Source organism: Homo sapiens, chromosome 3, assembly GCF_000001405.40.
Source record: "Homo sapiens chromosome 3, GRCh38.p14 Primary Assembly".
Taxonomy (NCBI): Eukaryota; Metazoa; Chordata; class Mammalia; order Primates; family Hominidae; genus Homo; species Homo sapiens.
Window position 1 is genome coordinate 75,662,989 of NC_000003.12, and position 20,618 is coordinate 75,683,606.

The 20,618-nt window shown below is 44.7% G+C and overlaps 1 protein-coding gene, 1 long non-coding RNA gene and 1 pseudogene across 4 annotated transcripts, besides 2 other annotated features; all 3 read left to right on the forward strand.

The window, feature by feature from the left end:
• Window positions 1–1,339: 1,339 nt before the first annotated feature.
• FRG2C (FSHD region gene 2 family member C) lies at window positions 1,340–4,185 on the forward strand. 2 transcript variants are annotated; one of them, NM_001124759.5, is made up of 4 exons: window positions 1,340–1,569; window positions 1,831–1,908; window positions 2,138–2,215; window positions 2,539–4,185. In NM_001124759.5, exons 1-4 carry the CDS (start codon window positions 1,392–1,394, stop codon window positions 3,051–3,053), a joined length of 849 nt encoding a protein of 282 aa, NP_001118231.1. In that variant the 5' UTR covers window positions 1,340–1,391; the 3' UTR covers window positions 3,054–4,185. The 2 variants fall into 2 exon arrangements, with proteins under 2 accessions (NP_001118231.1, NP_001397704.1); NM_001410775.1 differs by having other exon boundaries at window positions 1,834–1,908.
• Window positions 5,943–7,406, forward strand: DUX4L26 (double homeobox 4 like 26 (pseudogene); annotated as a pseudogene).
• Window positions 6,000–6,501: an enhancer, noted in NCBI's record as "OCT4-H3K4me1 hESC enhancer chr3:75718139-75718640 (GRCh37/hg19 assembly coordinates)". NCBI's record gives its function as "activates a minimal SCP1, AML or CMV promoter by ChIP-STARR-seq in naive and primed H9 embryonic stem cells {active_cell/tissue: H9 hESC(naive and primed)}" and the evidence as "EXISTENCE:reporter gene assay evidence [ECO:0000049][PMID:30033119]".
• Window positions 6,502–7,001: an enhancer, noted in NCBI's record as "OCT4-H3K4me1 hESC enhancer chr3:75718641-75719140 (GRCh37/hg19 assembly coordinates)". NCBI's record gives its function as "activates a minimal SCP1, AML or CMV promoter by ChIP-STARR-seq in naive and primed H9 embryonic stem cells {active_cell/tissue: H9 hESC(naive and primed)}" and the evidence as "EXISTENCE:reporter gene assay evidence [ECO:0000049][PMID:30033119]".
• Window positions 9,293–16,315, forward strand: LINC00960 (long intergenic non-protein coding RNA 960). Of its 2 annotated transcripts, NR_040004.1 has the most exons (6): window positions 9,403–9,781; window positions 10,206–10,250; window positions 10,859–11,018; window positions 12,776–12,892; window positions 12,980–13,140; window positions 15,845–16,315. It is a non-coding gene; the product is annotated as a long intergenic non-protein coding RNA 960 (long non-coding RNA). The 2 variants fall into 2 exon arrangements; NR_040005.1 differs by lacking the exon at window positions 12,980–13,140 and having other exon boundaries at window positions 9,293–9,781.
• The last annotated feature ends 4,303 nt before the right edge of the window (window positions 16,316–20,618 follow it).

Here is a 20,618-nt window from a genome sequence, read left to right on the forward strand (position 1 = left end):
ATCATATCAAAATTTATTTAGATGTCAAATAAATTTTATAATATTATAATATATAATGATATCATATTATGATAAGTTCCATTTACATTCAGACAATTTCACTAGGCAGTGTCTGTCTACCACTAATTCTTTTTTGGTTCCACTATTTGCACAGGCAGCACAGCTGGGAAAACACAGACTCACCCAACACAGTCTCTTCCCCGTGTCTTTCTCCTCCTCAAGGAATCATTTCATCAGTCAATCAAGTCATTTGGGACTGGAGGCCGAGTACTCCCTAACATAGAAAGTCTCATTCCTGCATGCTTTCCTCAGCAGAGGGGGAGAGAAGAAGGTCCTTTTAGGGGACACTTGCTTGGACGTAGCCTAGGCTAGTTGGAGGGCTCTGACCAGCAGAGACAGACTCCGCCGCAGTAGGAAGGGATGAGGCAGCTATTCTGAACCTGGAGCTCCACCACACTTTGTCCCGTCTCACTGAGGCAATTTTGAGAGGCTGCCCTGGAATATGGTGGTTGTTGAGAAATAATGTGGGCTTTGACGGGATTCAGGTGGTGTCTGCGGTGTGAAGACAGGAGCTGAATGTTTAGAATCTAGGCTGTTTTTCTTGTGATCAGCTGGGTTACCTGTTTGCGACCAAGTCCATTTTTACTAGGGAGGCTGAATAAATTCCACAGAACACAATGGCCCTCCCAGGATGACTGAGGAAGGGTGAGAAAGGGGGAAAGTTTTTCCACCTAGAATCAGGGGCTGATTAGGTTAGCACTGGCTCAACCTAATCAATGCAATTTTATTGCATTTGATCTAATTATCTTCCCCATTTTTAAGGTAGGAAGGGCCATTTCATTTGGTATTTATTTTTTCTCTGCACTTTTATTTCATCATCTATGTGTGGATCTAATAGACTCAACCATAATTTGACATTTGTTGTTTCCAAGCATTTAAGAAATTATAATATCTATGCATACAACGTTAACACTATGTATAATAAATTCTCTTTCTGTGCAAAATATATAACATATGTCAATATAGACATGTTTAATTGTGCATCTTGAAAGGTGAACAGGATCATAAATACCTCCAGGTAGGAACTGGGACAGAAATCGGAAGAAATGATTCCCTGATCTTCCGGTCCCTGTGCTCCCGGTTCTTTGTTTTCTTGACACTATGACAAGATCCTGAAAATGTCTCCCCTTAACTGTGTCTAGGTCCCCAGTAGAACTACAGCAAGAAACTTCTGATTGAGGCTCTAAGAAGCGGCAGGAATGAGAAAACTCTTCAGCCAATAAGAGTAAGCCACGCCCAGCCGAGGGACGTATAAAAGGCAGGTCTAGCAGACTAACCCACACTCTGCCTTTGGACATGTGAGAGAGCGCACCTTTCACTTGAGCTTCAACATGGGAAAGGGAAATGAAGACCCCGATCTCCACTGTTCCTCCATCCAGTGCTCCACTGACCAGCCCCCTTTCCAACAGATCTCCTTTACAGAAAAGGGCTCAGATGAGAAGAAACCATTCAAAGGAAAAGGCAAGACCGCCTTCTCCCATTCCAGTGAGAAGCACACACAAAGGCAAGGTAAGGCCTTGGGCTGCTCCTATGGAGGCTGGAAGGAGGGTTGGAATCAGGGATACTGAGCTATGTGTCTTTAGCAGGGTTTTATTTTGAGATTTGGGGATGGGAAATGGCTTAGTGCCCTTAGGGGACTTTGAGAAATGTGTTCACTCATGACACTGGCAGAAGAGCTTCACATGAAAGACTGATTCTCAAAAATGCATGAGAGATAGACTATGGGACTCTGCCTAGGGAGAGGTGAGCCATCTAAACCTTCTCTTGCAGCAGGATCAGATCCCAATCCAAACAAGGAGAATTCTGAGGAAACCAAGCTCAAGGCCGGGAACAGCACTGCTGGATCAGGTAAGATTTGACTCTTTCAAGGTGAGAAGGGACAGGGCAGCAACACAGGCTCCCCTGGCAAGGAAACTGGGAGCTCCTTGGCAGCCAGGGCAGTACAGATCCTGGACACTGGAGAACAGAAGAGAGCTGGGGTTTGGCGGTAACCTCAGCTCCTGTGTGTCCAGGATGGACTAGGAATTTCAGGGTGTTCAGTTGGAGGCACTTTCTCAAACTCTCATTGTGTTCACAGAACCAGAGTCCAGCTCATATCAGGAAAACTGCAGGAAAAGAAAAATCAGTTCCAAGGATATCTGCCAAGACAGAGCAGGTAGAATCTTGGTGTTTGTTGTTGTTGGTGGTGGTGGTGGTTTTTTTGTTTTTGGTTTGCCCCAAAAGGCAAATAATCAGGAAACTTTTATACGAGGCTTGAGCGGAAAGGGAATTACTTATTGACAAGTAAATTTTTGAGATCCTAGCACTCTGAGAATATTTGGGGACTCACAAGTGGTTCAGCCTCACTTCATTCCAGTCCTGAGATGGTCAGGAAGGAGTGGGAGAGACAAATGGGGTTCACCTGGGTGCACAGGGGGTTCTGGAAATGAGGGTCTGTGGGGACTGCTCTGGTGAGTCTCTCACATGCTTTCTTTGCAGGGAACTGTCCAGAAGAGGAGTGCAACTTGACGTTGAATAAAAAATCAAGATCCTCCACTGCTGTGCACAACAGTGAAATCCAGGAGACCTGTGATGCCCACCATAGGGGAAGTTCCAGGGCTTGCACTGGGCGCAGCAAGCGGCATAGGTCTCGGGCCCTAGAAGTCCAAACACCGTCACTTCGAAAAAGCTTGGTGACCTCTGTGCGAGCTATGTCGGAGGCTGTTTATCAAGACCTAGCCCAGGTGTGGGCACAGCAGATCCATTCTCCACTGACCTGTGAGCAGCTGACACTGCTCACTCGGCTCCGGGGGCCTCTGTGTGCCCAGGTGCAGACCTTGTATTCCATGGCCACTCAGGCAGCTTATGTCTTCCCTGCTGAGAGCTGGCTTGTCCCAGCCACACTGCCTGGTCCTGGGGATTCAGCCCTGGATAGAGAAGCCCATCCCTTCCCTGGGCAGGAGATAACTGAGCCTGTCAGTGGATCAGATGAGGCTAAGCTGGGAGCACCCTGACCCTATTCAGCAGAGATGCAGCTCTGGGAATGAGAACAAGGACCTGCTTCTTCTCAGATTCTTCCAGACGACCAGCAGTGACAATTTTAGATGCACTGTGTTAATAAATGACAGAACCTGAAGAAGTCATAGGAAAGAAACTTGAGCGGTATACTCAGAATGGTGAGCCCTGAATTTTGCAGACCGCTAAGGCTATAGACAAATTTTATATTTCATGTTAGACATTTGATACCTTTTGGATGTCTGATGACAGTCGTGCATTTCTATATAATCAGAAAAATATTAGGTTGCAATCGTGAATTTTCATATTTTAGATTGTAGAAAAGTAAATATAAAATTATATGCTCTTTTTTTTTTTGAGACAGTCTTGCTATGTCACTCAGGCTGGAGTGCAGTGGCACAATCTTAGCTCACTGCAACCTCTGCTTCCTGGGTTCAAACAATTCTCATGCCTCAGCCTCCCAAGTAGCTGGGACTACAGGCATGTACCGCCATGCCTGGCTAATGTTTTTTTCTTGTATTGTTAGTAGAGTTTTGTCACGTTGGCCAGGTTGGCCTCGGACTCAAGTGATCCACCAGCCTCCACCTCCCGACGTGGTGGGGTTACAGGCATGAGCCGCTTTACCAAGAAATTGCTTCTCTTTTAATTCGGAAAAGGTTGTAGGCTCTTCCAGCCTGAACCCATGGAGTACTAACATCCACAAACCATTAATAGCACTCCCTGTGGGAAAATGTTTATACATTTTTACAGTTTGCATAGTAAAATTACTATGCAAGCTGTTTACTTTTAATATTTCTACATAAAATTTAAGTCAAGATATATTAAATGGTAAATGATTGTACTTATTTATTCATCTGCCTCATGTTTTATTTCATTTTAAACATCCTGAATTTATATTTTATTGTATTTCATACATTTCAATTGATTGTACTGTATTGCAGGATATGGAGATTTCATCACATACTACAATACAGTGTATTTTGTTATATTTGACGTATATTCTACTTGTATTTTGTACTGAGATCATACAATCTTTCATTATCTAAGTGTATTAATGACTTGTTTGGTTGCTTTATAATTTTCATTTTATGTAATAATGAAATAAACATTAATGTTGTTTGGAATTTTAAATTTCTTTCATATGGAATTTGTATTTAATAAAGATGTGAAAAAGAGAATGTCTTATCTTCACTTCTGCATCATCCTAACCCTGACCTCCCCACAGCCCACAGCTCTTGTCATAGTCTGGGAATAGTGTTCTATCACTACAGGAAATGGGGCCAATTTAATGGTAATACACAGATATAAATTGGAGATATAGAGATTTTATTCTCGACCACTGCAGTATAAAAGAATCACAGTAACGCGAGTCACACAATTTTTGGGTTGACACTGCTTATGAGTTATGCTTACACTATGCTGTAGAATAACTCTGAAATAAATTTATGTCTATTAAACAAATGCACACACATAAATAACATGTCTAAATAACAATATACATATCTTAATGAAAATGAACTTTATTGCTAAAAATGTTAACACAGATACACACAATGGGATCATATAATGTTGAAAAATAGAGATGGGGAGAGGAACAGAAACAGAGAGAAAGGGAGGAATGGAGCGAGAAAAGGACAGATGGACAGAGGGATATTGGAAAGGAGAAAGTAGGGAGGGGGAGGAAGGGAGGTGGGGGGGGAGGGAGGAAGGGAAGGACAGAGAGAGAAAGGGAGCAAGAGACAGAGAGAAGAAGGCAGAGAGAAAAGCGGTCTTCTGCCTCCAGGACCAGCAGGACCTCGCACTCCGGGAAAATGTTGGGTGCCCAGTGCAGGCTGAGTGCTCGGCCCACAGCCACGTCTGCCTGCGGGGCGCGCACGGGCCCTCCGGATCGCCAGCCTGGGTCACTTCATCCCGGAGCGATTCAGACGAATTCCGCCTCCCAAGGAATGAGCGAATTGCCCAGAGAGCAGTGAGCTGAGACTCGGGTGATTGTCCGTTTTTCATCCACATGGTTCACAGATGACATAGCCCCACGTTGAGCCTGCAACAGAGCGCGAGGTGGATAGTCCCGTCCATTCAAGAGTCACACTCAGACCGAGTGAACCATGATTCTGGGTTCCACGTTCCTTTGCCCTCTGCAAGGGGGCCTGTTGTTCACGTGTCTCCGGCCCCCAAAAGCGTGACCATGTTGACTGTTTCCCGAGCTCTGTGGGGACCCAGAAACCTCCAGCGAAGCGTGGAAAAGCAGCATCCTGTCTTCGCTCTCCTTTCCAGTTTCCAAACAGGCCACAGTGGAGACTTCCCTTGTTGCAGGAAACAGGAATCCGTGGTCAGGCCGTGATGCACGGGACGTTTCTTTTCTCTGTAGTTTCGCTCTCGTTTTCTACATGAAAATGAACGAGTTCCACACCACTGCGTGTGTGAGACTATCACGGCAACGGCGACACCCACAGGCATTGCCGCCTTCACGGAGAGGGCATGGAAAACTCAAGACTGTCATGGAAGTTCAGTTCCACACTCCACCCTTCAGGGTGGTTTCTGCCTGAAAACTGTGGGAGTCAAGACAGCGGCTTCCAGTTTCCATAGAATTACTGGAGAACCTTAGAGTGCCAGCCCCCGAAGCCCCTTTTTCCCCTCCAATCTGGCCCTACACCCACCCACCCCACAAGGCCCTGGTCCCTGTGGTTTTCGGCTTTGGAGGGCGGGCTACCCCGGGACCTTGGGCCCCGAGTTCATGCATGTTCATAACGGGGTGGAGGTGGTAGGTCTTACTAAGGGCCTCCTGGCTGGACCTGCCTGCAGCGCAGAGGCCGGCTGAGGTGCACGGGAGCCCGCCGGCCTCTCTCCGCCCGTGTCCGTCGGTGAAATTCCGGCCGGGGCTCCCCGCGATGGCCCTCCCGACACCTTCGGACAGCACCCTCCCCGCGGAAGCCCGAGGACGAGGACGGCGAAGGAGACTCGTTTGGACCCCGAGCCAAAGCGAGGTCCTGCGAGCCTGCTTTGAGCGGAACCCGTACCCGGGCATCGCCACCAGAGAACGGCTGGCCCAGGCCATCGGCATTCCGGAGCCCAGGGTCCAGATTTGGTTTCAGAATGAGAGGTCACGCCAGCTGAGGCAGCACCGGCGGGAATCTCGGCCCTGGCCCGGGAGACGCGGCCTGCAAGAAGGCAGGCGAAAGCGGACCGCCGTCACCGGATCCCAGACCGCCCTGCTCCTCCGAGCCTTTGAGAAGGATCGCTTTCCAGGCATCGCCGCCAGGGAAGAGCTGGCCAGAGAGACGGGCCTCCCGGAGTCCAGGATTCAGATCTGGTTTCAGAATCGAAGGGCCAGGCACCCGGGACAGGGTGGCAGGGCGCCCGCGCACGCAGGCGGCCTGTGCAACGCGGCCCCCAGCGGGTGTCACCCTGCTCCCTCGTGGGTCGCCTGCGCCCACACCGGGGCGTGGGGAACGGGGCTTCCCGCATCCCACGTGCCCTGCGCGCCTGGGGCTCTCCCACAGGGGGCTTTCGGGAGCCAGGGAGCGAGGGCCGTCCCCGTGCTCCAGCCCAGCCAGGCCGCGCCGGCAGAGGGGATCTCCCAACCTGCCCCGGCACTCGGGACTTTGTGTTCCCTGCCCTAGCTCCTCCGGAAGTGGGACTGTCCCACCCTCAGACTCCTCGGAGGCCTCCGCACCCCAGTAAATGACAGGAGGACCAGGACCCGCAGCGCGACGGCCTGCTGGGCGCGTGCTCAGTGGGACAGCTTGGGCCCCCTCAAGCTGAGTCACAGGGGCAAGGTGTGCTTGCGCCACCCACGTCCCACCGGAGTCCGCGGTGGGGCTGGAGCCCCAGGTCGCCAGGGCGGCGTGGGAACCCGAAGACGGGGCACCTCCACCTCCGAAGCTCGCGACCCCGGAGGCCTCTGCGTCAAGCACAGATGCCAGCCATCCAGGCGCCTCCCAACCGCTCCAGGAGCCGGGGCGCTCGTCTGCACTCACCTCCAGCCTGTTAGATGAGCTCCCGTCAACCCCAGACTTTCAGCAAAAGGCACAACCTTTCCTAGATCCGGTGTCACTGGGGGAGCTGAAGGAGGTGGAAGAGCCTGCTCCGCTGGAACCACTCCTCAGCCAGGAAGAACACGGGGCTCTGCTGGAGGAGCTTTAGGACGCCGGGTTGGGGCGGGGCGGGGGCAGGGCGGCGGCCTCTCTTTGGCGGTGAACCTCTGGCTCGGTATGGAGAGGCGTGTCTTCCCTTCCAGTTGACCTGTCTAGGATCCCTGGGTTCCAGGTCCGGCGAGAGACTCCACACAGAGGAGGGCTGTCATTCTTTCCTGAGCATCCCGGGGATCCCAGGGCCCGTCCACGTACCGGGAGGTGGACTGTCTACTGCTCATGCGGGGGTTTGCAGGCAACAGCTTAGGTTTTCTAACCAGCCCAGGCGGAGCTCGCATCCCTTTTCCCCCCGCGTTCTTCAGTCGGGTTGGCGGAGACCTCAGTCCGCGAAACACTGGGTCGGGGCAGAAGCCAGGCCAGTTCTCCTTTCTGCGGCTCGATTCCTCTGCCTCTTCTCTCACTATCACTTGCCAACCCGTGTCCCACCAGCCTCCTCGCCAGCACCATGGAGCGCCTTGCAACTAAATGTAGACCCGAGACCCCGCGCAAACCGGGGTGCTGCCCTTTCCAGGCAAGAGGGAAGGCAGGCAGAGATGAGGACAGGAACGGAGACAGAGTGGGACGGAAGGATGGAGCTAGGAAAGGATGGATGGACGGAGGGACCCTGGAAGGGAGAGGAAGAGGGAGAGAGGGAGAAAGGGAGGAAAAAACCAGGGCAGGGAGGGAAGAACAGAGGGCAGGATGGACCGAGGGACAAAAGGAGCAAGAAACAGAGAACCGAAGGCAGACAGAAAAACGGTCTTCTGCCTCCAGAACCAACAGGACCCAGCAATCCGGGAAAATGTTGGGTGCCCAGTGCGGGCTAAGTGCTGGGCCCACAGCCCCGTTGGCCGGTGGGGAGCTCAGCGGCCCTCCGGATCGCCAGCCTGGGTTACTTCATCCCAGAGCGATTCAGACGAATTCCGTTTCCGAAGGAATGAGCGAATTCCCCAGAGAGCAATGAGCGGAGACTCGGGTGGTTGTCTGTTTTTCATCCACATGGTTCACAGATGACATATCCCCACGTTTAGCCCTGCAACAGAGCGCGAGGCGGATAGTCCCATCCACACAGAAGTCACGCTCAGGCCAAGTGAAGCGTGATTCTGGATTCCACGTTTCTTTGCTCTCTGCAAAGGTGCCTGTTACTCAAGTCTCTGCCGCCCCCGGAAAGCGTGACCATGTTGACTGTTTCCCGAGCTCTGTGGGGACCCAGAAACTTCCAGGAATGCGTGGAAGACCAGCATCGTGTCGGTGCTCTCCTTTCCAGTTTTCAAACAGGCTATATCGAAGACTCCCCATTTTGCAGAAAACAGGAATCCATCCTCAGGCCGTGATGCACGGGACGTTTCTTTTTCTCTGTGCTTTCGCTCTCATTGTCTACATGAAAATGAACGAGATCCACACACCTGCGTGTGTGAGACTATCACGGCAACTATGACACCCACGCGCTGGCAATAGAGTTGGCAGCCTGATCCCAGGACAAAGGTACTGACGGACATCCAGACACACCCCACCACAATCACTAGCAAACCCACTCCCAAACAGACACATACGGGCGCACGCGCGGGAACACAAGCATACACGCAGACACACAAAGACACAGACAGCTTGAAGAAGAGCAAGGGACAGAGGGATGGAGAGATAGAAACGGAAGGAGAGAGAGAAACAGCGATAGAGAGAGAGACAGAGAGGGACGGGGAAACTGCGAGAGAGAGAGAGAGAGAGAGAGAGAGAGAGAGACAGAGAGAGAGAGAGAGACAGAGAGGGACGGGGAAACTGCGAGAGAGAGGGAGAGAGAGAGAGAGAGAGAGCAAGGTGGAGAGGGAAGTAGAGAAAGGGAGAGGGTGAGGGAGCTAGAGAGGGGGAGCAACAGAGCCTTGGAGAGGGAGGCTCTGCTCTGGTAGACAGGGGACCCTTTGGCGAGGGTAGGGTGGAGGGTGCCTGGGCCGGGCTAGAACAGGAGGGCAGGGCCGCCCACGCGGGAAAACCAACGGAGCCCTGAGACGTGTTTTTACTTGGATTGGTTGGTTGCTTTGGGCGTGCGTTTCCTAGCGTCATTCCTTTGTTGGCTCCTCCCTGTCCTCTTGGTGCTGTGGGCCCTGAAAGTTGTCGAGTGCGCCTGTCCCTGTGGTGGGAGCAGTGGCGCCGAGCGTGCCCACGGGCCGCCGCTTGGGTTTCTCTCGTGTTCAGGGTAGTATGGACGTGGACAATGGCAGTGGCCCCTGGCTGGCCCAAGAGCCGGGTCCAGATACGCGCGCCTGATTCCAGGCGTCATAACCAACCCGGGGCCGCGAGGCTGGGATCAGGCACCCCGGAGCCGCTTGCCCGTGGCCGGGCTGCTCTCCCCCTCTAAGCCTAAGCACCGCCAGTCGCGGCGCTGCGCTTTCCGCCGACCTCCCAGAGCGTCCCGCCGTCGCCGGCGGCCAGCCTCGCGCAGGACCAGTGTGGCGCCGCCCTGCTGTTGCTGGGGGGCGCCCGAGGCCTCCATTCCTTGCCCAGGCTTCCGGCTCTCGGGGCGGCCTCCCTTCCGCCCACGCTCCAGGGCTTCCCCGGCTCCCGAGCTCCGAGCTTCCACCACATCGGCCGGCTCAGGACAGGTATGCTCATCCCGTCACTTTTTAACTTTTTGTTGTTTCTATTTATATTTTATTGTGCTATGTCTTGAAATGTTGTTGTAGCTATTACTTTTGATTGGATATTATTTAATATTCCTACTTTGAATAAGAGTAGTTTGCACACCACACAGCTATAGTGTTATAATATTGTGTTTTGTTTTGTATCCTATTAGCAGTGAGGATTTTTTTACCTTTAGGTGATCATTTATTGCTCATTAATGTACTCTCTTTAGCATTCCTTTAGGACAGACATGGTATTCATAAAATACTTCAGCTTTTGTTTGTCTGGAAAAGTCAGTATTTCTTTTTATTTGAAGAACACTTTCACTGTATATGCTATTCTAAGGTAAAAGTTTTTTTCCTTTAGTACTTTAAATATTTATTGCTTCTCTCTCCTGGCCGGTAGGGCTTCCACTGTAAAGTCGGCTGCCAGACGTGTTGGAGCTCACCGGTATGTTACTTGTTTCTTTTCTCTTTCTTCCTTTAGAACTTTTCTTATCTTTGACTTTTGGAGGATCTACTGAACGCTTTGAAATAGTCTTTTTGGGGTTAAATCTGCTTAATGTCCTATAACATTTTTGTAGTTGGATATGGATATCTTTCTCTAGGTTTGGAAAGTTTTCTGTTATTATCCCTTTGAATAAATTTTTCTACCCCTGCCTCTGTCTCTACATCTTCTTTAAAACCAATAGCTCTTAGATCTGTCTTTGTGAGGCTATTTTTCTAGATCCTGTAGGCATGATTTGTTGTTTTTATTCTTTTTCTTTTGTCTCTTCTATGTATTTTCAAATAGCCTGTCTTCAAGCTCACTATTTCTTCTGCTTGATCCATTCTGCTATTAAATGGCTCTAATGCATTCTTCAGCATGCCAATTGCATTTTTCAGCTCCAGAATTTCTGCTTAATTTGTTGTAACTATTTCAATCTCTTTGTTGAGTTTAGCTGATAAAATTTGGAATTTCTTTACTTTGTTATCTTAAATTTCTTTCAGGTTTTTTTTTTCTTTTTACAGCTATGTTGAATTCTCTGTCTGAAAGGTCACATATCTCTTTTTCTCCAGGATTTGTCCCTGGTGCCTTATTTAGTTCACTTGGTGAGGTCATGTTTTTTTCCTGGATGGTGTTGATGGTAGTAGATGTTCTTCAGTGTCTGGACATTAAAATCTTGGGCATGCAGCACCATATGAGAGGTTTAAAAAATAAAATTAAAAAAGAGAAAAGGTGAGTATTTATTGTAGTCTTCACTGTCTGGGCTTATTTGTAGCTGTCTTTCTTGGGAAGACTTTTCACATATTTGAAAAGACTTGGGTCAAATATGGGTCAAATATGGCTTAGGTTGTGATCTAAGCCATATCTGCTTTATGGGGTACCTTATACCCAATAATGCTGTAATTCTTCCAGACTCAGAGAAATACCACCTTGACAGCCTTCAACAAGATCCAGGAGAATTTTCTGGATTACTAGCCAGAGACTCTTGTTCTCTACCATTATTTTCTCTCAAAGATACAGAGTCTTTCTCTCTGTTCTAAGCCACCTAAAGCTGGGAGAAGAAAGACACAAGCACCCCTGGCCACCACCACTATGACTGCCCTGGATCAGACCTGAAGCTAGCACAGCATCGGGTCTTGCTCAAGTCCTGCTGCATGAACTTTCTGATGACTGCCTATGTTCACTCAAGGCCTTTGGTCTCTACAATTAGCAGGTGGCAAAGCCAGCCAGGCCTGTGTTCTTTCCTTTAGGGCAGTGAGTGCCCTCAGTCCCTGGCTGGGTCCAGAAATGCCATTCAGAAGTCAGGGAGTACAGTCAAAAATTTTAGAAGTCCACTTGACATTCTATTGCATTGCAGCTGATCTGGCACTCAAACCACAAGACATAGTTCTTCCTATTCCTCCCTTCCTTTCCTAAAGGCAGGGTAGCCACCACCACCTCAGGCCACAGTGAGTACTGCCAGGCTACCACCAATGTTCCCTTAAGGCCCAAAGCCTCTTGTCAGCTTGTGATGAATGCTGCCTGGCCTGGGACTTGCGTTTTCAGGACAATGGGATCCCTACTGGCCCTGGGCAGCTTCATAAATGCCAACCAAAAATCAAGTCCTAGAATCAGGGATTCTGAAAGTTCGCTTGGTGCTCTACCCACCTCTGGCCTTGCTGGTACCTAAGGGGCAAGAAAAAGTCCCCTTTAATTTTCCCTCTACTTTTCCCAAGAAGAAGGAGTTTTGCCTCTTAGCCACCACAGCTAGTAATGTGCTGACCTCACCTAAATCTAGCAAGTCTATGAGGGTCATCCAAGGCCCTTGATGTAGTACCTGGGTATGGCTGCTGGTTATTCAGAGCCCAAAGGTTTTCAAGTTTGCAGGCGATAAATCCTGCCAGCACATGGTTCTTTTCTTCAAGGCAGCAGGTTTTTTTCTGGCCCAGGGTGTGTCTAGGAATGTCTAGGAGCCAGAGACTGGAAAGGAGGCTGCAGGATTCTGACCAGTGCACTACCTTGCTGTGGCTGAGCTGGTGCCCAGGATGAAAGACAAAGTACTCCCTATTCTTTTCCTTCCTCTCCTCAAGCAGAAGGATGGGGTCCCTTTTGGAGCCATGAGCTGTGCAGTCTGGTGTTAGCGGAGTGATAATGCCAGAACTCCTTTGGCTGCCCCAGCTGGTGTCTCAGTATGTTGCCTGCCCTCCCCACCCCAGTCCACTGTCCCTGGGCCCCATTCAGCCCTAGGCCTCACCTAAGAGTTACAGTCCTGATGGCCTAGGCTGCCTTTCAAGTTTTCTTAGACACACAGAGTGCGGGAGCCCTTAGTTGCCAGGTTTCCAAACACTGAAGTTCCAACCACTGGAATCTGATTCTCCTCTGGCTAGGGCTGGCTTAATTGATCACTCTGTGGATCAGCATTAACTGCACTTGGTCTGGTTTTCCTTTCTGCTCTAACAGGACAGCACTGAGTTCAGTGCCTCACAATTGCTGTGTTCTCTCTCCCGCAGAACCCAGAGTTGATCTCTGCAGCATGCCATCACTGCTGGGGATGAGGAAACGGTGATTTCAGGACTGTTTTTTCTGTCTCTTCAGTGCCTCTTTCAGTGATCTGAGGTTAAAACCAGGTACTTTGAGTACTCACCTGATCTTTGGTTCTTATGAATGTATTTTCTATGTGGATATTAATAGTTGTTCATCTGGTGTCCTTGCAGAGGGACAATCAGTGGAGCCTTCTTTCTGCCGTCTTGCTTTACTCTCACGCCCAAGAATCAGAATTCAGAACTTTTAATAAGAAAAGCTTTCAGAACTCAGGAAGGACAAGGAAGACATTCTGGTTCTCCATGCTTAACATTGGACTGTTTCTTCAACTGAGGTGCATAGCACTGACTAATCAGGGATTATCATAGATAGTTTGACTTGGACTACGCCGTTCATTCAAATTCTTTATCTAGACAATTTAAGTACTAGCTGATTTGGCATGAAAATCTGGCAAAGTATTTTCTTGGTATTCAATTGATTTTTATTCTGCTTGGGTTAGCAGTTTTATTAACCAGTTAGTCTCTTCATTAAAGTTCTGGGAATTCTTACCCAGTTCAAATAATATCATTCTAAAGTTCTCAAAAACCTGTATTCAAGAGTGCTTCTGAGGGCCTTCTCCATCCTTTCATGAACCTCCTTAAAGATACAATATTCCAGGATTTTGCAAGCTTGTAAAGTTTTCAGAAACTGCCTCAGAATTAAGCAATTTACTGTGGAAATGACTTTAAGTTGTCATAGTCAGACACAATTGACAAGAAAATTTTATTTATTTATAGGCATGAGCCACAGCGCCTGGCCTCTAAAGCTAATTTAATAAAACTTTATAAATGCATTTATCAAATGTTGTTATCTTTTAATCCCAGATTTTTGTGAACCTATGCTTTGCATTTTCCCCCAACTTTCTATATTTATCTAGTTTTATCTAGTTTTTTTTACTTCTTCAATTTGAAACCTTTAAGTAACTTCAAACCAAAAAAAAAAAAAAAAAATTAAAACACAGTTTTATGTCTTTATAAGTTTTATCATCAAAAACATATTTTCACAATCCTATAATCCCAACACTTTGGGAGGCCAGGGTAGGTGCATCACTTGAGGTCAGGGGATCGAGACCAGCCTGGCCAACATGGTGAAACTCTGTCTCTACTAAAAATACAAAAATTAGCTGGGTGTGGTGGCGAGCACCTGTAATCCCAGCTACTTGGGAGGCTGAGGCAGGTGAATCACTTGAACCGGGGAGGCAGAGGTTGTAGTGAGCTGAGATCATGCCACTGCATGCCAGCCTGGGCAACAGAACAAGACTCAGTCTCAAAAAAGAAAAATAAGGCATATCTTGCTTTTTATACACTCTATGCAGAATTGTTTCTCTCATATCTAGTAATTAAGTCTTAGGAGCCCCAATATTCAATGAAACCCTAAAAAGTTATTTTTCAACTGTCTTATATCAGTATTTTTAGATAAAAACCATTTTACAACTTTTAAGAAATATAGTTCTTCAAATTACTGTTTATTAACAGAACTAAAGATATTTAGGTTTTCTATACCATATACAAGAAACATGTCATGGTATATAGAACTAAACTAATTTTTAATGGTTAATATTTCACTATTTTAGCTTACAAATGACTCAAGATATTTTATGGCTATCTATTACTTAATTTAACGTGACTTTAAGATTTTAAATTACTGAACAGAATTTTGAAACCATGACACAGGTAGCATCCGTAATGTCTTCCCTCAGTAATTTTAGGTCCCAAGTAGCCACATGGCACCCAGGAAAACTGTGAAGATCAGGGCCTGCCTGAGTCCATTAGGACTAAAGACAGAGCTGTGAAGGCTATACCTGGAGGATCCAACCCCTCCTAAAATAGCCAGAAGGCAAAACAGGGAAAGCACAGAAAGAAGGGGCCGATTGGGCTTGATTCTGGCTTTTAGCTGCTGGTCTAGGCACTGAGAACATGTCTCCATACTTCATCATGGTCCTCTATCAAGACCCCCTGAATCCAGAAACTCTCAACAAAAGACATAAGCTCACAGTTAAATCAAGCAAATATCTAATTATATTTAATGGATAATTGTAAAGCCATTTCTATTTTACTAACGATTTAAGAACAAGCTTATTTACAAAATATTATCACATACACGTAACACATATAGACATACAAACACACAGAAGCAGATCTTATAGCTTTCATAAAGGATTTAAAAATGTTTTATTTTAGGCTCGGGGGAACATGTGAAGGTTTGTTACATAGACAAACTCGTATCTCAGGGGCTTGTTATACAGATTATTTCATAACCCAGGTATTAAGCCCAATACCCCATAGTTATCTTTTCTGTTCCTCTCCCTCCTCCCACCTTCCCCCCCTCAAGTAGACCCCAGTGTCTGTTGTCTGTTGTTTCCTTCTTTGTGTTCATAAGTTCTCATTATTTAGCTCCCACCTATAAGTGAGAACACATAGCTGCACAGTATTCCATGGTGCATATGTGTGTTCTGTGTGGGAAATGTGTGAGGAAAGAAGAAAAGAAACACACAATACTTTTAAGGGTAAACAGACTTTATCACAAGTATATGGCAATATAGATATAATAAGCAAATGATACAATAAACAAATTGTAATGGGAAGGGGAGAAGGGAAAATGTATATATATATGTGTGTGTGTATATATATGTAATATATATACGTATATATACACATATATGTATATATGTATATATGTGTATATGTATATATCTATATATACATATATGTATATATGTAATATATATATGTATATATATGTGTATATGTGTATATACACATACACATATGTGTATATGTGTATATACACATACACATATGTGTATATGTGTATATACACATACACATATGTGTATATGTGTATATACACATATACACATATGTGTATATGTGTATATATGTATATATACACGTATATATCTATATATACATATATATACGTGTATATATGTATATATATGTGTGTGTGTATATATATATACACACATATATATATATTTTTTGTTTTACACTCGCCAGACTATGGAGGATTCATCAACAGACCAGGAAGCAACAGCCTGGGCTCCAGAATTGACCAGTAGTCCGTGCACAGACGAGGAGAGGTCCCATGAAACTTCGGCGCAGTCTGGGAACCGAGCTCTTTTTGTAACAAGTTGTTTGTCAGGAGGCCCGGTCATGAAAGCCCTTCCTGACTGGGCTCAAGGAATACAAAAAGGACAACTTGTTTTTGCCATTGTCTGTTGTTTTTCAATAACTAGTTCTCCGAAACAGCACTGGATGAATGCCTCAAGGGGCTCACACAACTCGTTCCAGGACTTAGTGACCATTGTTTCTGTCCCTGTTCAATAGAGTTCAAATTTAATATTTAAATTTTGCTCCACAATGTGCCATATTATCTGTATCCAACCTGTCATTGGGCATTTAGGTTGATTCCATGTCTTTACTATTGTGAATAATGCTGCAATAAACATTTACGTGCTTGTGTCTTTATGATAGAACAATTTATATACCTCTGGGTATATACCCAGTAATGAGATTGCTGGGTCAAGTGATAGTTCTGCTTTTATCTCTTTCGAGGAGAGCACTGTTGTGCTTTCCACAATGGTGGGACCAATGTACACTCCCAAGCATCTGTCATTTTTTGACTTTTTCATAATAGCCATTCTGACTGGTGTGAGATGGTGTCTCACTGTGCCTTGGATTTGCATTTCTCTAATGATCAGTGATACTGAGCTTTGTATTCTATGGTTGTTGGTCACATGTATGTATTCTTTTGAAAAGCATTCATGTCCTTTGCCCACTTTTTAAACATTTTTTTATTTCCATAGGTTTTAGGACAACAGGTGGCATTTGGTTACATTAGTAAGTTCTTTATTGATTTGTAAGATTTTGGTGCATCCATCAACTCATCTGTATACACTGAACCCAATTTGTAGCCTTTTATCACTCACCCCCTTCTCCCGTTTCTCCCTGAGTCCCCAAAGTCTATTGTGTCATTCTTAAGCTTTTGCATCCTTATAGCTTAGCTCCCAATTATAAGTGAGAATATATGATGTTTGGTTTTCCATTCCTGAGTTACTTCACTTAGAATAATAGTCTTCAATCCCATCCAGGTTGCTGCAACTGCCATTAATTCATTTCCTCTTTATGGCTGAGTAGTATTCCATTGTGCATATATACCACGGTTTCTTCATCCACTCGTTGATTGATGAGCATTTGGATTGGTTCAACATTTTTGCAATTGCAAATTGTGCTGCTATAAATATATGTGTGCAGGTATCTTTTTTGTATAATGACTTTTTTTTCCTCTGGGTACATAGCCAGTAGTGGGATTGGTGGGTCAAATAGTACTTCTACTTTTAGTTCTTTAAGGAATCTCCACACTGTTGTCCATAGTGATTGTACTAGTTTACATTCCCACCAGCAGTGTAGAAGTGTTCCCTTTTCACTACATTCACATCAACATCTATTTTTTTTTTATTATGACCATTCTTGAGAGAGTAAGGTGGTATCACATTGTGGTTGTAATTTGCATTTCCCTGATCATTAGTGATGTTGAGCATATTTTCATATGTTTGTTGGCCATTTGTATATCTTCTGAGAATTGTCTATGACCATACTGCCAAAATCAATCTACAAATTCAATGCAATTGCCATCAAAAAACCATCATCATTCTTCACAGAACTAAAAAAAAAAATCCTAAAATTCATATGGAACCAAAAAAGAGCCCACATAGCCAAAGCAATACTAAACAAAAAGAACAAATCAGAAGGCGTCACATTACCTGATTTCAAACTATATCGTAAGACCATAGTCACCAAAACAGCATGGTTCTGGTATAAAAACAGGCACATAGACAAATGGAACATAATGGAGAACCCAGAAATTAACACAAATATTTACAATCAACTGATCTTTGACAAAGCAAACAAAAACAAAGTGGGGAAAGAACACCCTACCCAACAAATGGTGCTGGGATAATTGGCAAGCCACAAGTAGGAGAATGAAACTGGATCTTTATCTCTCACCTTATACAAAAATCAACTCAAGATGGATCAAGGACTTAAATCTAGGACCTGAAAGTATAAAAATTCTAGAAGATGACATCAAAAACACCCTTCTAGACATTGGCTTAGCATGGATTTCATGACCAAGAACCCAACAGCAAATGCAAGAAAAACAAAGATAAATAGTTGGGATTTAATTAAACTAAAGAGCTTTTTCGCGGCAAAAGGAACAGTCAGCAGAGTTAACAGAAAATCCACAGAATGGGAGAAAATCTTCACAATCTGTATATCTGACAAAGAACTAACATCCAGAATCTACAACGAGCTCAAACAAATTAGCAAGAAAAAAACAAACAATCCCATCAAAAAGTAGGCTAAGGACATGAATAGACAATTCTTTGGCCACTTTTTAATAGGGTTGTTTGTTTTTCTCTTGTAAATTTAAGTTCCTTATATTGAATATTAGATCTTTGTCAGATACATAGTTTGTAAATATTTTTTCTCATTCTACAGGTTGTCTGTTCACTCTATTGATAATTTCTTTTGCTGAGCAGAAGATTTTAAGTTTAATTAGATCCCACTTGTCAATAGTTGCATTTGTTGTTTTTGGTGTCTTTATCATGAAATCTTTGCCTGTTTCTATGTCCAGGATGGTATTGCCTATGTTGTCTTCCAGGGCTTTTTATAGTTTTGGGTTTTACATTTAAGCATTTAATCCATCTTGAGTTGATTTTTGTGTATGGTATAAGGAAGCAGTCCAACTTCAATCTTCTGCATATGGCTAGCCAGTTATCACAGCACCATTTATTGAATACGGCATCTTTTCCCCATTGCTTGTTTTTGCCAGCTTTGTCAAAGATTAGATAGTTGTAGGTATGTGGTCTTATTTCTAAGCTCTCTATTCTGTTCCATTGGTGTATGTGTCTGTTTTTGTATTAGTACCATGCTGTTTTGGTTACTATAGTGCTGTAGTACAGTTTGAAGTCAGGTAATGTGATGCCTCAAGCTTTGTTCTTTTTGCTTAGGATTGCCTTGGCTACTTAGGTTCTTTCTTGGTTCTATATGAATTTTTAAATAGCTTTATCTACTTCTGTGAAGCATGTCATTGGTAGTTTAATAGGAATAGCTTTGGGCAGTATGACCATTTAAATGATATTACTTCTTTCTCTCCATTATCATGGAATGATTTTTCATTTGTTTGTGGCTTCTCTAACTTCTTTGATCAGTGTTTTATAATTTTCATTGTAGAGATTTTTCACCTCCCTGGTTAGCTGTATTCGTACGTATTTTATTCTTTTTGTGGAAATTGTGAATAAAATTGCCTCTCTGATTTGGCTCTTAGTTTGTCTCTTCTTGGTGCATAGGAATGCTAGCAAATTTTGTATATTAATTTTGTATCCTGAAACTTTGTGGAAGTTGTTTATCAGCTTAAGGAGCTTTTGGGTCACAACTATAGAGTTTAGATAGAGAATTATATTGTCTGCAAACAGAGGTAGTGGGACTTCTCTTTCTATTTAAATACCTTTATTTCTTTCTCTTGTCTGATTGCTCCAGAAAGGACTTCTAATACTATGTTGAATAGGAGTGGTGAAAGAGGGCATCCTTGTCTTGTGCGGGTTTCAAGGAGAATGCTTCCAGATTTTGCCCATTTAGTATAATGTTGGCTGTGAATTTGTCATAGGTGGCCTTTATTATTTTGAGGTATGTTCCTTCGATACCTCGTTTATTGAGAATTTTTAACATGAAGCTTTGTTGAATTTTACTGAAAGCCTTTTCTGCATCTGTTGAGACAGTCACATGGTTCTTATCTTTCGTTTTATTTATATTATGAATCACATTTTATTGATTTGCCCATGATGGACCAACCTTCCATTCCAGGGAAGAAGCTTACTTCACTATGGTGAATTAGCCTTTTGATGTGTTGCTAGATTCAGTTTGCAAGTATTTTATTGTGGATTATTGAATGGATGTTCATCAAGGATACTGGCCTGAAGGTTTCTTTCTTTGTTGTGTCACTGCCAGGCTTTGGTATCAGGATGATGCTGGCCTCGTAGAACAAGTTGGGGAAGAGTCCCTCCTCCTCTATTTCTTGAAATAGTTTTAGTAGGACTGGTACTGGCTCTTCTTTGTACATCTGTTAAAATTTGTTAATCTATCAGGTCCTGGGCTTTTATGGGAGGTTGGTAGGCTATTTATTACGGATTCAATTTTTGGAGCTCATAATTGATCTGTTCAGAGACTGAATTTCTTCCTGGTTCAGTCTTGAGAGAGTGTAGGTGTTCAGGAATTTATTCATCTCTTCTAGGGTTTCTAGTTTGTGTGTGCAGAGGTGTTCATAGTAGTTGCTGGTTGTTATTTTTATTTCTGTGAGGTCAGTGGTAACATTCCCTTCATCATTTCTAATTGTGCTTCTTCGAATCGTCTCTCTTTTCTTCTTTATTAGTCTAGCTAGTGCCTATCTATCTTACTAATTTTTTCAAAAAACCTTGATTAAGTGATCTTTTGAACAGCTTTTCTTGTCTCAATTTCTTTCAATTCAGCTCTGATTTTAGTTATTTCTTATCTTCTATAAGCTTTGTGTTTGAGTTCTTCTTGCTTCTCTAATTCTTTCAGTTGTGATGTTAGGTTGTTAATTTGAGATCTTTCTAACTTTTTGATATGGGGATTACTTCTTATGCCCTACTCTAACTTTTCTCCTTCTCCTAGAAAACTCAGAACTATGCTTTCTAAACCAATTCAAACTTTCTCAGTGAATCAACCTGGTCTCCCTGAGGCAAAGTTAGCA